This window comes from Homo sapiens, chromosome 9, assembly GCF_000001405.40.
Source record: "Homo sapiens chromosome 9, GRCh38.p14 Primary Assembly".
NCBI lineage: Eukaryota > Metazoa > Chordata > Mammalia > Primates > Hominidae > Homo > Homo sapiens.
The window spans coordinates 63,161,519-63,178,057 of NC_000009.12; the positions used below are offsets into that span (position 1 = coordinate 63,161,519).

General features: G+C 34.9%; 1 annotated feature.

The window, feature by feature from the left end:
• Window positions 1,823–2,328: an enhancer, noted in NCBI's record as "H3K27ac-H3K4me1 hESC enhancer chr9:67068313-67068818 (GRCh37/hg19 assembly coordinates)". NCBI's record gives its function as "activates a minimal SCP1, AML or CMV promoter by ChIP-STARR-seq in naive H9 embryonic stem cells {active_cell/tissue: H9 hESC(naive)}" and the evidence as "EXISTENCE:reporter gene assay evidence [ECO:0000049][PMID:30033119]".

Consider the following 16,539-nt stretch of genomic DNA (forward strand, 5'->3'; position numbering starts at 1 on the left):
TAGAGGAATTTGAAACCTTCAGAAACTTGAGCTATAACAAATATTAAATGCAGTTCAACTCCAAGACAGATTAACATATATCCTCAATTAACTTTATCTCAGTATCAATTTATCTCAGCATCAATTTATCTCAATATCTATTATGGATACCACATGTCTGGCGCTCAATAATGGCAACAAAATTACAAAACATGGTAAAAGGCAAGAAAAAAATTAACAATCTGAAGAGACAGGATGATCATCAGAACAAGACTCAGTGATGATGATGCATATTTTGGAAATAGCAATCAAGAAATTTACATAACTATGATTAAGATGTTAAGGACACTAGTGGAAAATGTAGAAAATATTCAATAAAAGATGATTAGTATAAGCAGAGAGATGAAAATTCTAACAAAGAACCAAAATAAAAGGCTAGAAATTAAAATAACGCCAATAGATTTTTTAAAAATGCTTTCAATGGTTTCATTAGTAGACCAGACATGTTTGGGGAAAGAATTGGTGAAACTAAAGATAGGTCAAAAATACATTTTAAAACAAAGTGCCAAGAAAAAATAAACGGAAAAAAAAAAGTGAAGGACATCAAGGACCCGCTGGGCAGTTTCTAAAGTTGTACAAAATGGGAAACTGGAATAGCAGAAAGACGAGAAAGAGAGAAATGAGGAGAATCTATCTAAATGAGTAATGGTCAAGAAATTTTAAAGCATAATGACATGAAACAAACAACCGGTCCAGGAAGCTCAGAGAATACAATTCATGACAAACAACAAAAATACAGCACCAGACATAGCATTTCCTATATGTAGAATAAAAGAAAATAAAATAAATCAATAAATAGACAAAGAGAAAATCTTGACAGAATCTGGAATGAAAACTACATTCCTTGTAGAGAAAAAAGAGCAAGGATTTCAGCCCACTTCCAGTAAGAAACCAGGCAAGAAAGAAGAGAGTTGCGGGAAATGTTAAGGAATAAATGCACCAACTTAGAATTCTACATCTAGCAAAATTATACTTCAAAAGCAGAGGGGAAATCAGAATTTACCAGACAATAAAACACTAACAGAATATATTGCCAGAAAACTTTCCTGCAAATGTGTTAAAAGAGGTTATTCATGGAGGAGAAGAGTGATATAGATCAGAAACCTGTATTTACAATAAGAAAGCAAGTATGTTGAAAAAGGAAAAAAAATGTTTTATTTTTCTTATTGTAAGTCTTTTTAAACTACATGTTCGTTTAAAGTAATATTAGTAAATGTTTTGGGCAATTACAACATGTGGGTAAGTGAAATGCCTGATGGTTATGTTACAAAAGATATGAAGGATGAACTGGGACTATTCTATTAACGTGTCCAGAATTGGTGGGTTCTTGGTCTCACTGACTTCAAGAACGAAGCTGCAGACCCTAGTGGTGAGTGTTACAGTTCTTAAAGATGGTGTGTCCGGAATTTGTTCTTTCTGATGTTCGGACGTGTTCGGAGTTTCTTCCTTCTGGTGGGTTTGTGGTCTTGCTGGCTTCAGGAGTGAAGCTGCAGACCTTCGCAGTGAGTGTTACAGCTCTTAAGGCAGCACGTCTGGAGTTATTCATTCCTCTCAGTGGGTTCCTGGTCTCACCGGCCTCAGGAGTGAAGCTGCAGACCTTCCCGGTGGTTGTCACAGCTCATAAAGGCAGTGTGGACCCAAAGAGTGTGCAGCAAGATTTACTGCAAACAGCAAAAACACAAACCCTCCACACCACGGAAACGGACCCAAGCGGGTTATCACTGTCCCTTGTGGCAGCCTGCTTTTATTCCCTCACCTGACCCCACCCACATCCTGCTGATTGGTCCATTTTGCAGAGAGCTGATTGGCCTGTTTTGACAGGGTGCTGATTGGTGCGTTTACAAACCTTGAGCTAGACACAGAGTGCTGATTGGCGCATATACAATCCTCCAGCTAGACACAAAAGTTCTCCAAGACCCCACCTCACTGGGGAGCCCAGCTGGCTTGCCTAGCAGATCCCGCGCTGGGGCCGCTGGGGGAGCTGCCCGCCAGTCCCACGCCAGGCGCCTGCACTAGTCAGCCCTTGGGTGGTTGATGGGACCAGGCGCCACAAAGCAGGGGGCAGTGCCGTTGGGGAGACTCCCACCGGCCGCTGGGGAGCCCACGGGGGAAGGCGCGGGCGGGGAAAGGCTCGGGCATGGTGGGCTGCAGGTCCCGGGCCCTGCCCCACAGCGAGGCGGCTGAGGCCTGGCAAGAATTCGAGCCTAGAGCGGGCGGGCTGGCAGTGATGCGGAACTCAGCGCATACTCTGCAGCGGCTGGCCCTGGGTGCTAAGCCCCTCACTGCCCAGGGTCTGTGGCGCCAGCCTGACCGCTCTGAGTGCAGGGCCGCCCCCGCGTGTGCGGCGCAGCCTCAGTTCCCGCCTGTGCCTCTCCCTCCACACCTCCCCGCAAGCAGAGGGAGCATGCTCCGGCCTTGGCCAGCCCACAGACGGGCTCCCACAGTGCAGCGGTGGGGCGAAGGGCTCCTCAAGCGCGGCCAGAGTGGACGTCCAGGCCGAGGAGACACGGAGAGCGAGCAAGGGCTGCCAGCACGCTGTAACTTCTTATTAAGGTACCTGCACTATATGTGAACTGGTGGAGTGCTATTTGAAGGTGATCTTAGATTAGTAACAAATGTGTATTGGATACTCTGGGGAACCACTAGAATAGTTGAAAAAGAAAGTATGCTTTACATGTAATGAGTGACATTAGGTTTGATAATGGATTTTTAGATATAATATTAATACGAAAAGTTCTAGCTATAAAAGAAAAAATGATGTTAGAGTTTGTTAAATTTAAAATGGAATTTTCTGCTCTGTGAAAGACTCCAGAGAGTTAAAAGACAAGCCACAAACTAGAAGAAAATATCTGTAAACCATATATCTAATAAAGTATTGGTATCTAAACATACAAATAACTCTGAAAACTGAATAAGAAAGCAAACAAGCCAATTACAAATGTGCATAGAATCTGAAAAGACACCTCACCCCTGCCCCCGAAATACCCATGGCAACTGGCATATAAAAATATGCTCAGTATTTTTTTTCTTTAGAGAAACACAAATTAAAACAATTGTGATACTACCACACATTAGTTAAAATGGCTTAAATCCATGAACCGAAGTATTACAAATTCTGGTGAAAATGTAGAGCAATAGTAGCTGTTTGCTGAAGGGAATTTTAAAAATGGTACTGCACGCTGGAAGACAGATTGGCAGTTTCTTACAAATCTAAATATCGTCTCACCACGCACTTCAGCTATCATTCTTCTAGGTATTTATCCCAATGATGTGACAATTTATATCACATAAAAATGTGAGTGTTTATCAGAGCTCTTTTTTATAATTATCAAAAATGGACAGCAACCTACATGGCCTTAAACCTTAAGTAAGTGAATTGATATACTGGTACATCCAGAAAAAAGAAATAAATATAAATCTACAGGAATAAATACATGAATATTCAATATTTATTGCTCTGTGAAAGAAATTGGTCAGCAAATGCCTCGTATTATATATTGCTAAATATATGACATGGTAGAAAAGGCAAAACAATATAGTATAAAAGATTAGTGCTTCCAGAGGTGAGGGGAGAGGAAGTAGGGTTAAATATGTGAAACATGAAAACAAATTTTTTACTGTACTGAAACTATTTTATATGATATTGTAATGGTGGACATAACATTATGCATTTCTCAAAATCCGTAAGAGTTTTTGAGCTTGAGGAGGAAACATTAATTTATATAACTTTTAAAAAAAACTATCCTTTAGGAAGTAGAGGGATTGCAAGATGGAATGCAGAGTGTGACAAAATATTATAACTGTATTGAAAATATATGAAACAACCTCACTGAGATGGGTGGGAAAAAATGCGTTGAAATAAGTAATTTCAGAAATGAGAGGAGACTGTAAAATTAAAGGTGAAAGGAAGTGTATACAAGCACAGTGCTCCAGTTAATAAAGTTGTTTCTCATGGAAGTATGGTGTAACGTTTCTGACATCACCGTATATGTACACTGTGAATGAACAATTAAGAAAGTGAGTGATGAATGGTGGCCGGGAACAAGTAGAGGGTTATTCTTGATATTCTCCTCAAATTTCTTTAATTAATTAGTAAATGAATTAGCAAGTCCCTAATGGCCTTTAGAGTCTGCTGAAGGAGATGAATAAACAGCTGACTATTAATATAGCATAATATAATATAGTGTTTAATATAAACAAAGGGCTATGTGAGTGTGGACCAAGAGACTATTATTTTCACCTTTTATCTAAAACCTTGAAAAAGTTGGCACTTCTACCTTACCTTAGATAGTAAGCAAAAGTTAGATAAGTTGAAATGACACATTTTTCATGCAGAAAATATTACACACGAAGACATGGAGGTTCAAAATTTCCAGGTTATAGGGAAATTGCAGGATGCTGAAAAATGCAGGTTGCTGAAAGGAATGCAGTATGATGCAAGATATTTGATGTTGGGCAAAAATAATTTTAACTTCTATTATACAGTCTGTAGAGAATGGGCAACATTGAGGGGTAACAGAAGCCTTTGTTACCCCATCTTTGAAAAATAAATAATAATAATTATCCCATTTAGATATTAAAGATTAAATAGGTTAGTGAATTCAAAGTATGCCATATAAATTCTGGCAAATAATATGTTCAAAATAAATTGTAACTTTGATTATTAAAACATGTATACACACACGTACATATATATGTATGTGTATATGTATGTGTATGTGTGTGTGTATAACAGAATTAATTGTATATCATAGTTGAAGTAAAAGAATGGGAAGAAAAAATACTTTAATGGGCCTCCAAATAGGACAAGACTATATACATATAGTCTTGCATATATATATATATATATACACACACATCTAAATAAACTGTATCAATACACACACACACACATATTCTCAGTACATGGGGATAATCAGAAAGATGGCTACAAAAATACAACCCTCTTAGTTTTATATAACCCTTTATAAATATATAAAACTAAGAGAAGAAAGAATGCCTTCTGAAGCACTGTAAACTAACCTAAGGGGGGTAAAGTCAGAGGATTTTACTATGTTGGAACTGAATTTATTAACATAGCTATAGAAAGAGTCTGTCAATGAAAGGAGAATTAGTTGCCTATGGAAACTGAGCTACAGATGAATCTTTAAGGCATAAATCTCTTTTCCACCTAAGTGGAAGTCCAATTCCTGAGGCAGGAAGTCTGGGCAAGTGAAATTGCCAGTTAAGTTGGTAAGCCTTCCTACAATAAAAATAAATGCATGTGCACATTTATATTAGCTTGATGGTGTTAAATATTCTAATCATTGAACTTTATTTTTCTGATCTAATACATACCCAGCTATCATGTGACTACATTTTGTTTTCCCATACAGATGTGCGTTTGGGTGGAAAGTATGTACTGTTTATGCTGAAGTAAGAATTTTATTTTATATAACATAGTTCTTGTTATAAATTAATAAACTAACATTCTGATTGTTTATAGTCATTGTGTGTTGAATCGGGTCTCCAAAATGAAATACTAATCCCAATACTTGTGAATGTGACCTTATTTGGAAATAGGTTATTGCAGATGTTATTTTGAAACAGGGTCATATTGAAATGGGATGGGCCCTAATTCAATGACTGGTTTCTTTATAAAGAAAGAAAATATGGACACAGAGAGACATAAAGAAATATAAGGAAGAAGGCCATGTAATGACAGAGGCAGACAGTGGGGTGATGCATGCACAAGTCAAGGAACACCAAAAATTGCTGGCAACCACCAGAAACTAGAAGACACACATGGAACGGACTTTAAGTCAGAACTTTTCAGAAGGAACCAATCTTGCCAACACCTTGATTTCAGGCTTCTAGCTTACAGAGCTGTGAGACAACAAATGTTTGTTTTTTTTTTTTAAGCCACCTATATTGTGATACTTTGTTATGGCAGCCCTAGAAAGCTAATACAATAGTCAAAAGGATATAAATTATCTCCCTGTAGCCTAAAACTTTAAAATAATTTTTTTTTTCCCAGAGGCCTTTTCTTTCATTTGTTGGTTTTAGTTTCTATACAATAGATCAAACATCTTCACTAATAGTTTTCTTAGACATTATTTTTGGAAACATTTTTAAAGGACTCATGGAAATCTATAATCTATGCTGATTGACTACTTCCATGTAAAGAATTTGATATTTTTCATAGTTACTACTGGCTGTTACTGTGCTATTCCTAATTGTCTTGAATGTTGCATATGTAGCATGAAATCCCAATTTTTATTGAAGTACGATATATATATATATAACTCTTCTATGGTTGTCTTCAAGCTGGAGCCTATTTGTTAGCACTGCAGGGCATCGTGTGTGTGTGTGTGTGTGTGTGTGTGTGTGTGTGTGTGTGTGTGGTAGAAGCTACTATATGAGAAATGTGGAGATACGCCTTTAGTTCAATTCTTTAGCTGCTAACTAATTTAGAGTTCTTACTGTTGTTTTAGTCAGGAAATAATGAAATATATCATCAATAAAAAGTTAAAGGAACAAGATGAATCAGTCCAATGGGAGAATCTAAATCTTCCCAGGGATCTGTCCAAATCCATAAAAAGAGTACCATTTGATAGGTAACAGCAGGGGATTAAAGACTGAAGCAGTTTGCTGCAGGCTATGAATGACCTGATCCCTTAATCCATCTGTCTTTTTATATGAGAATGTTATGCTAATTAGCTGAGTAAATTGTTTCCTGATGATATTAATTTTGTGCCTTTCTGTTATTCTAGGCTTTGACTTTCACTGTGATAAAAATATACGAAGGGGCATTTTCAATTTAGATGGTTCCTATCCTGATAAATTCCAACACAGCAATGTTGTGGGGGAAACATGTATAAATAGCAAACTTAATCAATCCCGAGGATAGACATAGATGACTTTAGCTTCCTATATAATCATTCCCTTTAGCTTCTAAAGCATTACATTAACACACTTGAAATGTTAAAACATAATTCAAGGAGAATTTTAGGAAATGCAATTTTCATTGCCCCATTTTCTTTGGAGAAAATCAAGACTTGAATTCATTAACATGGAGGAAGTAATGGAACAGATAGTCGTGATGTGAAATCCTGCAGGTGTTGTGTTCTGATAATGCATATCCTTTACAAGTTTGGGTAAATTATTTGCTTTGCATATAAATTAACTCCAAAGCTGAATCAACATTAGAATAATAAAAATGTAGAGAATATTTTTATTCCAAGGAAGCAAAGATTTATAGCAAAATATATCCAAATCCTAGATGCAATTTCAGGAGGATAGATTTAAAAATATTTATCATACTCCAAAAAGAAAAAGGAGAAAGAAAAAAGGAAAAATACATACAATTGAGAGAAAGGAGGAATGGTTTTGGAAAATACAATATTATGTTATTATTGTTACATTAGGGAGAAAATAATTGAGAATCGATACATTTGTTTTTCAGTATAAAAACAAAAAGATGGCACTTATTTAACAATTCTTAAGTGATGTCTTCTGAGCTCCACTTTATTGGGTATGTATTGTTCCTAAGCTAAAATCTAATTTCAAAATATTACGTATTACAGGTGTAGTGTTGTCTTGGTCTGTGTTGTGTTGCTGTAACAACACCTGAGACTGGGTAATTTATAAAGAAAAAAAGGTTTATTTAGCTTATGGTTCTGGTGGCTGGAAAGTCCAAGACTATGGCATTGGCATCTGTTGAGCTTCTGATGAGAGCCACATGCTATGTCACAGCAAGGCAGAGAAACAAAATGGAAATCAGGCAAATCATTGCTTTATAAAAGAGGCAACTTTCTTTAGAATGACCAGCTCTTATGAGAACTAATCCATTATCATGAAAAATAACCCAGTTTCACCAGAAAGTTATTAATTTGTCTTAATGACCTAATCACCTCTTCAAAGAACGATCTCCTAACACCTTACATGGGAAATTAAATTTTGACATGAATTTTGGAGAGAATAACCCATGTCCAAACTATAGCAAGGGTAAAGACCCCAAATTTACTTAGACATGGGGATTAATAATCATGTGTCGTTGCCAATAAACGTTTTCTTTCTTTTGCACTTCCAAAGAATTTTTTCACCACCTATTTTCCTCTATGTTTTTCTTTCTCTAGTATTTCTTTCTCTAAAAATTTGTGCTCGTGTAAATAATTTGCAAATGCAACTTTTTTCTTCTTTGAAATGATAGCTAAATTCAAATTACTTTTATCTTATTCAAAATTCAGAGAAAAATTCAGAAGTGACCTATTAGATGTTTGAGAATGTGCTATACTACATCAGGTGCACAAGTTCCTGTGAATAAGAAGCAAAAAAGCTAGCACTTTCCCTACTTCTGTTTTTAAAGAATAAGCTTATCAATGGATATTGAGGAAAAAAACTACTGGTAATATTTAAATGGTAAAATGGGTATGGTAAAATAATATTACGAGCATTTTTTCAAGTAATACATTTTGAACTTTAAGTTTTCTTCTGTTAATTTTATCTGTTTATAGGAGTAATCCTGTTTTGTTCACTTCAGTATATTCACTATTCCTTTCCCTTACAGTCAAGCATTGGACATGGCCTTGATATTGCTGGTGATTACCCATAGAGCTCAATGTTCATCTTTTGTTTCTAAATTCCAAAAGCAAAGTTGATTCTAAAGGATGATAATAATCATTAATAATTCATAGAATACCCAACTCCAAAACAGAATCAGGAATGCTATAGACAATAATAAGCACACATTAAACCAACTGGGCACTGTGCCCAGAAAATCAGCCAAGTACACACAATAGGCAAGAAAAGAGCTTGTATGTGTGTAAGGAGAAATAAGAAAGGGAAAGCAACGCATAAAAGGCTTCCAAACAGAACAACCAGGGAGTCAACAGATTTTCAAACTTTCACAGAAACCAGAAATATTTTGAAGTCATTTCTGCTGGGTCTACTAACTGTCTTACAATGTAAGATAGCCATGAACCCCAATGGAAGAAGTAGAAGCAAATTGAGTATATTCTAAAAAATTCAAAATTTGTAGGCATATTAAGTTTTAGGTTTTACAAGCTTACAAGTGGTGAATTACAAGACCACAATATAGGTGTAGGTTTATGGGCTTTTTTATTTGTGATGATGACTTAAACCAACCTTCTTTTTTCTATATGATTTGTTGAAATTAAAGCACTGTACATGTGATTATGACAAGGAACAAGGAGTCTCATGTATATGTTTTCTTATATTATAAAACAGCACCTGAACTTTTTCATGTCAGATCTCTGCTGGCAAATTAAAGGAGGAAAATACCCCCATGAACTGAAGAAACCTATGGAAGTTAGCTTATTGAAATGCTGCCAGAGGCTTCATTTAGAGGGGTTTTTATAGGTAGTAGGTCTAAAGGATACTAGCAAACAAAAAATGCTAACAACATTTTTTTTCCCAAGGGAGAAGTACCCCACCAAATTTATTCCATGTAGGCCTGAGGGTTGGATACTAATTTACTTACCATGTATTTATTATAAAACACTACTTAGGCAGGTGTGACCAAGCTATAATTGGCAAGAAACCAGGGATGTACATTTGCTTTTGTTATTATAGCTAAACTAGAAGAAGACTAAATCCTTTAATAGGAATAAAAAGTTAACACAATGATTTAATTTAGTTCTACTTAGTATAGATAACATTTGGTAGAGCTTCAGGAACTTACTATATATTTTAGCCCTTAATTTGTAATGAAAGCATTGACAGTATAAATCTTGGGATAAACTAGGTAAATAAATTACTTTTTTTGAATATGAATGTTCTTTTTTATTTATCCTGGAGTCATATTCAGTGAAGTGAGAAATGCATTTTGTTAAACTGACACCTAGATTTCAGGGAGAATATACTCAAATGATAAAATATTTATATCAAGAAAATAACTTTTACTCCATGACATTATATTATTTATCAGATATGAGTGTCATTAAAATTCATTTTCAAACTGTGTAAAAGAGAATGACTCCTATGCCAATGTTTTCTTACAGTGTGAAATCTTATATTGATAAAAGTACAATATTTATATATGAAATTTTGGAAAGCTTTGAGCATAAAGTTCTCAGTCACATCATAACATTTTCTCTGACAGTGTGTGTGTCTTAGGGTAGGGAAAGAGAGTGGTTGAATGTCCATATCTTACTAACTAAGATGGTATGCCCACTGTCTTAACAATTTACTTCCTGTATTGACTCGACTAATTAGGCTGCCATAACTTTATTTCTTAATTGTTAATATGTTGGGGAAATTATCAATAAGTATAGAAAATGACAAAGTTATTGTTTCTGAAAAACTATGAAAAAGAGGATAGCCTTACTTATGCAGAGCCTATTAAAAAGAGAGTACTTTTTCTTCTTAAAATGCATAGCTTGACCAGCTCCATTTAACACTGTTTTTTAAAAGACGTGTTAATATCCTAATCGTATAAATGAATTCAGTCATGACTAGTTGAGTCAAAGAGATTTAAAAATTATTTGAACTGTTTTATCAAATTTCTAGCTCATTGTTTAGTGCTAGATATTCACAAAACAAATAGTTAAGTTCCTAAGATTATTGTTGCAAACTGTGGGAACTAAAAGTCTTTAATTACATTACTTTGAAAGCAAAAAGTGATTTCCATGCAAAATATTTTAAAGGATTTCTACCTAATGTCAAATTTTCTCATCTATTCATTTAATAAGCATTGATTAAATATCCGTTGTGTCTTAAAAATCAATGACGAATAACATCCTAAACTTCAGCAAGCATATGGTTGAACACTAAATAAAGAACAAAAACCAAGGTAATTACAGTAGAGTGTTTCAGTGATATATTACCACCAAGAACAGAGAGCTATAAAAATCACTGGAAGAACATCTAACTGAATCTTTGGGGAGTGAAGAAAAGCTTTCTTTGGAAAATAACCTCTAATCTCATATCTAAAGGACCAGTAGGAGTTATCCATAAAAAGGAGAAAGAAAATTCCAGGTAGTTGAAACGGCTTGCTGAATTGCAAGGGCACAGATTACTAAAATGTTTAGTAATACTCATGGTAATTTTGTTTATATTTTTGAAACAGATATCATGTAGTTAACACAATAGGTCAAATCAGGACCTTTGGTACACATAACCCTTTTTCTGTAAGGTGTTGATAGGTATCATTTGAATAAAATTGGCGATATTTAGTGTTTATTGGTGTTTGGGAAAAACATGTGCTTCCTAAAATTTTAGCATATTTTCCTATATGATTTCTCATTAATAAATTAATGCACAAAGCAAATATCCAGGAGGTGTTAATAGTAAGCAGTAATTTCCAAAATTGCGTGACCAAGAAACTTTTTACTCATAGAATAACTGAAATACTTTTCTCAGGAATATACTTTGAGAAATATTGCTTAAATACATGTGGAAAAAAAGTGTTCTAAATCCAAGTTCTTTATGGTGGAGATTACTGAAAAAGTATGGGAGAAAATTATACATTTTGATAGAAAATCGTAAGAGTTGAATGGTGTTTGCCCAAAAGGTTTGTCCACCCAGAATCTCACAGTCTGACCTCAATTGTAATAAGCATCTTTGAAGATGTAATAAGGTAATAAAGTGTGCTCATCCTCTATTACAATAAATTCTAAATCTAATGAGTGTCCTTATAAGAGATAGAATAACAGAAAGACACAGAAAAAGCGGGGAGGCATGTGAAGACAGAGTCAGAGAGACTGGAAAGACAAAAACCGCTAAGAATTGCTGACAGCATGGAATGGGTTTTTTCTGGGTCTCCAGTGGAAACCAATACTGCCAACACATTCATTTGTCTTCTGGCCTCCAGACCTGTGAGAGAATCAATTTCTGTTGTTTTAAGTCATCAAGTTTGTTGTAATTTGTTATGACAACCCTGGAAACCTAATACAACAATGTGATGCTTTAGAACCAGTTGTGTTCGAACAAATTTAAGCCTTAACTCATATTCTTACCAAACAGTCCCCAATGAATTATGGATGTCCTTTGATTTCATGTCCTTGCATTATCCTCCCAACCAGACAATAGATTAGCCTTGTGAATTAGTTGAGCCATGAGAATGCAGCTAAAAGAGACACTGTATAAGTTTCAGTCCTAGGCTTAAGGAAGCTTTATAGCTTTTGTTTACTCTGTCTTTTACCTTGAGCCACTGTGCAAAGATGTCTAGGTTAGCGTCCTTGTGGATGAGACACCTTATGATGAAAAAGACCAGGAGGAATGAAAGACTGGGAAGATAGAGAGGAAGACCCAGTTAGTTTCTAGTCATTCCAGCACAACATATGAATGGGGCCAGCTAGGATCCTCCAGTCCCTATGGAGCTGCCTCTAAATACAAACATATTAAATAGTCCAGCAGAAGACACCATCTAGGGAAGAGATGAGCCACCCAGCTGAGTTCAGCCCAGATTGAAGAATCATGAGCAGGTCCATCTGTGCTACTTAGCTGTTTTAAGCTGCTATGTTTAGACTGGTTTATTATGCAGCAATAGAAAGCTGTAACCATCTAATATGATTATCAAGTATGTGTTTTTAAAACAAAGACAAAAAAGATGAACAGATATAAGATTAGGTTGTGTGCTGTAGCAAAGGTGGATTTGACCTTTTTTTAAGTTAAGAATTTTGATAATCTACCATACATTTTTAAATTCTTTCTTGCATTAACTTTATCTCTGGATAAAAAATTCAGGCCACCTGTAAGTAAATAGAAACAGTAGGCATAAATACACAAAAGGAAAGTTATATTAAAATTCTGCAGAAATGTAACAAGAATAAAAAACCTGAACTGGATTTTTAGGATGTTCTACACTCAGCTTTTATGAGAAACAGACAAATGAAAATCTCATGCCAAGGATTTGTTTTAAAAGGCTGTATAATAGGTAGACCATTGACTAACACATGTTTTACCACCTTTATCTTCAGAGTACTGCAGACAAATGATATTCATAATGACTCTACACGATATTGAAATGGTATCTGAATATTAACAACTAAATTCTGACCAGTTATGATTTAAAACATTTAGCTATTTATTGATTGTTATTTTTTTAAAAACTTGGAATGTGCATTATATGTATATTTAACTATAAAGTCACTGAACATTTAATTAACATATGTCCTGTTTTTCAATCATTACTAGGAGTAATCTTTATAGAAATACAAGTAGCAACCATTACCACAAATGAATTCTCATAAGAAACAGTTATTCAAGTCTTTTTCTCTCTCTCTTTGTCAAACGCATGTGCACACACACACACACACACACACTTTGTATGCCTGTGGATTGTGTGAGAGAGAGAATGAGACTGTAAATACAGAATTATATCAGAATTCTTGTAGCAAATAAGCCATCAGGAAAATTGAGCCAACTTAGTCTTGGTCTTGTGAAGGACATTTTCTCTTTTCTGACCTAGTCTTTTCTATTAAGTGAAAGATGTCACACAATGACCACTCATCTATTTTTGATGGATACATGAATTGTACATTACATGGAAAGAAGAGAGAAAATAATCCTAATTTTACATAATGTACAGGTTAGAAAGCCTGATACAGACTAATATAAAATTAATGCTTTGAATAAATTTGTTTATACTATTGCTCTGTTAGAGTGTTGCTACTTTTGGTTTGTTTTTCAATTGTTTTTCCAATATGTATTTAGTTTGATTTTTAATAATCTTCTCTCTCTCTTTTTTCTTTTCTTCTCCTTTACCTCTTGCTCCTCTTCCTTATTCTCCTTGCCTTCCTCCTCAGTCTCCTCATCCTCATCTTCCTCCTCATCCTCTTTCTTTGTTTTCATTACAAAATAAAATAAGCAATCAGAAAAGTTCATACAGATATTGTTACTTATCTTTAGGGACCTGGATCTAACTTAGTGCTGTTGCTTCTGTTTCTTCTCTTTTGTCCTCCTCTTCTTTTTCTCCTTTGTGTCCTGTTTTACTTTTTAAAAATAGATGCCACAACTCTGATTTTTAATCTGATTGTGTAAATGATCCTTAATAGTAAAATCAATTTTAATATCTTATAAAACAGAAGCACAGCAAAGCATTTTGCAGAATTTACCATAAAGTAAATAATAACCATTCCTAGTATGATAATGCTGCAACTATTTTTCTTTCATCCTCTGCAACATTTTTATCTGACACAGTCTCTGCTGTTTCCAAGTTCAACGTCCTGCAGCAAGCCTTGCCAGCAATACAGAATACTTTCAATTAGTAGTTCTCTACTTCTCTGGTCGCTAAGCAACTGACCTGTGGTGAAGAATACATAATGATCTGCATAGACACCTTAGAGCAATAGAAAGTATAAGCTTCACAAGTTTCATTTGCTCTCTTGTGTTGATGTTACAACAACCAGTTAAATGCATGGAAATATTTGATAGTAGTTTGCTATAATAAACTTTAATAAAGATTAGAGGAAGCCTTGGAGAAAGGTAGAAATAAACACAACATAAAATATTGTATTTGTCATTTGTTCATGTATGTCATTTTATTGTTTATAGGGAGGGCAAGCAATCAGGTTAATATTTTATTAAATGTTTATATTCTAGCTACTGTTTAAGACAGAATTCATCAAGTAGCAGAAGTGATGGAAGGGCCAAGGGGAAGAAAGATGGACAAAACCTGAAAATTGAAAGTGCAATAAAATGAAAATTACAAATGAAAACCAGTATGCCTGAGATATACATGACTGTTTAGTAGAGTGTCTTCATGTGGGTTAAAGAAGAAAAGGAATTACCAGCTGGAATCAGCAGAACAGATTTAGCACTTGACCCTTGGATACTTTTCATTCTATTTATCTATCATATTTTTATTGGTTTGTATTCCATTGACTACTATATGCACCGACCCTCAGCAAATTCATTCAATAGAGAGGAGAGATTATATCTCCACTGTATCAGTGGAGCTGCTTAGGAACATTTCTCCCGCTTCTTGTATGTATTTTGTCCTATTTGTACATTGTATTTTATGAGCTGCTTTAGAATAGTAGAATAACTTTCCTTTATATGGTATAGAACTTTTGATATATCTCAAAGAAATTTTTAAAAAATGATCAATTGAAATGTATGTTCTCATACTGTATGTGCAAATATCAGTAGAACAAACACTAAGGATTAATGAAAATGAAAATCCTAATATATTAAACTTAGAAAAATAGACTAAATATTTACTGAAAAGAAACAGATAACCAAAATTTCGTGATACACAATGAAAAGCCTTGAGACATTAAAGAGGACTTTCACTGTCTTTGATGATGTCATCTTTTACATATTAAGTTCTTCTAGCATGGTAACTAGAACTAAACTTTTAACTTCCTTTTAAACCACACACTGAATGCATCTGTGAAAAAGACCTGCATACTACAAGATAACTTTAATTACATATCTTCTGTGGGGTCCGTGCTTTTAGTTTAGTATAGGTTTATGCAAAGTGATACTATTGGTAATGTGTAATTTAAACACACACACAAACTAACAGGCCCTGCCGCCTATCAATGTCTGGGTGATATCAGAGAAGGCCGTGTGGGAATCTAGAACTTTCTTCTCTGCCAGGTAGTTACAATGTGCCCCGTCCTTCTCCACCAGATTCCTTAGGTGTCAAAGTAAACTAAGTGAGAAGGTGGAACTTTCACCATCATCTAGTGGTAAAAAGGTCCAAGGCCTCCTGATGTTTGCCTTCCCTTCAGTGTAGGCCATAGTGGGAGCAGAAACAAGAAAAAAATCCCCCACTCTCCAAAGGTGGTTGAGCAGGGATAAATTTTTATCACCACCTAGCAATAACAAGGCACCCCCACTTTCACCATGTGTGGTGTCACAGGAGGTTTATTTCCAAGAGTTAAAATACAGAGCCTCATAGCATAATATCCAAATTACCCTAGATACGTTGAAAATTACTCAGCATGTCAAGCACCAGAAAAAAATCTCATCTTGAATGAGATAACACATGCCAACACAGTGATAACACATAAATTAGATTTATTCACAAGGATTTTAAAGTCACCACCATAAACATGTTTTAATGAGCAATTGCGAATATGCTGGAACAAATGAAACAATGGAAAGCTTTACAAAGAAATAGAAGATGCCAAGAGACAAATAGAAATTTTGGCACTGAAAAATATAATTGAAACTTTAAAAAATACTTGATGGCTCAGTAGGGTAATGGAGGAAATAGAGAAAAGAATAAGTGAACTTGAAAATAGGACATTAAAAATTTACTAATCCAAAGACCAGAGGGAATATAGACTGAAAATGAAAAAAAAAAAAAAAAAAAAAGAACAGAGCCTCAAGGACCTATAAGACTATAGCAAAAAATCTACTATTCATGTCACCAGAGTCCTAGAAGGAAAGGCAAAAGTGGGTTGGGCTAAAAATATATTTGAAAAAATAATGTCCAAAACGTTTTCGAGTTTGGCAAAAGACATACAACTACAGATTCAAGAAATGAGAAAATCTAAAATGGGACAGACACAAAAAAATCAACAAAGAAACAGGGCAATTTCAGAA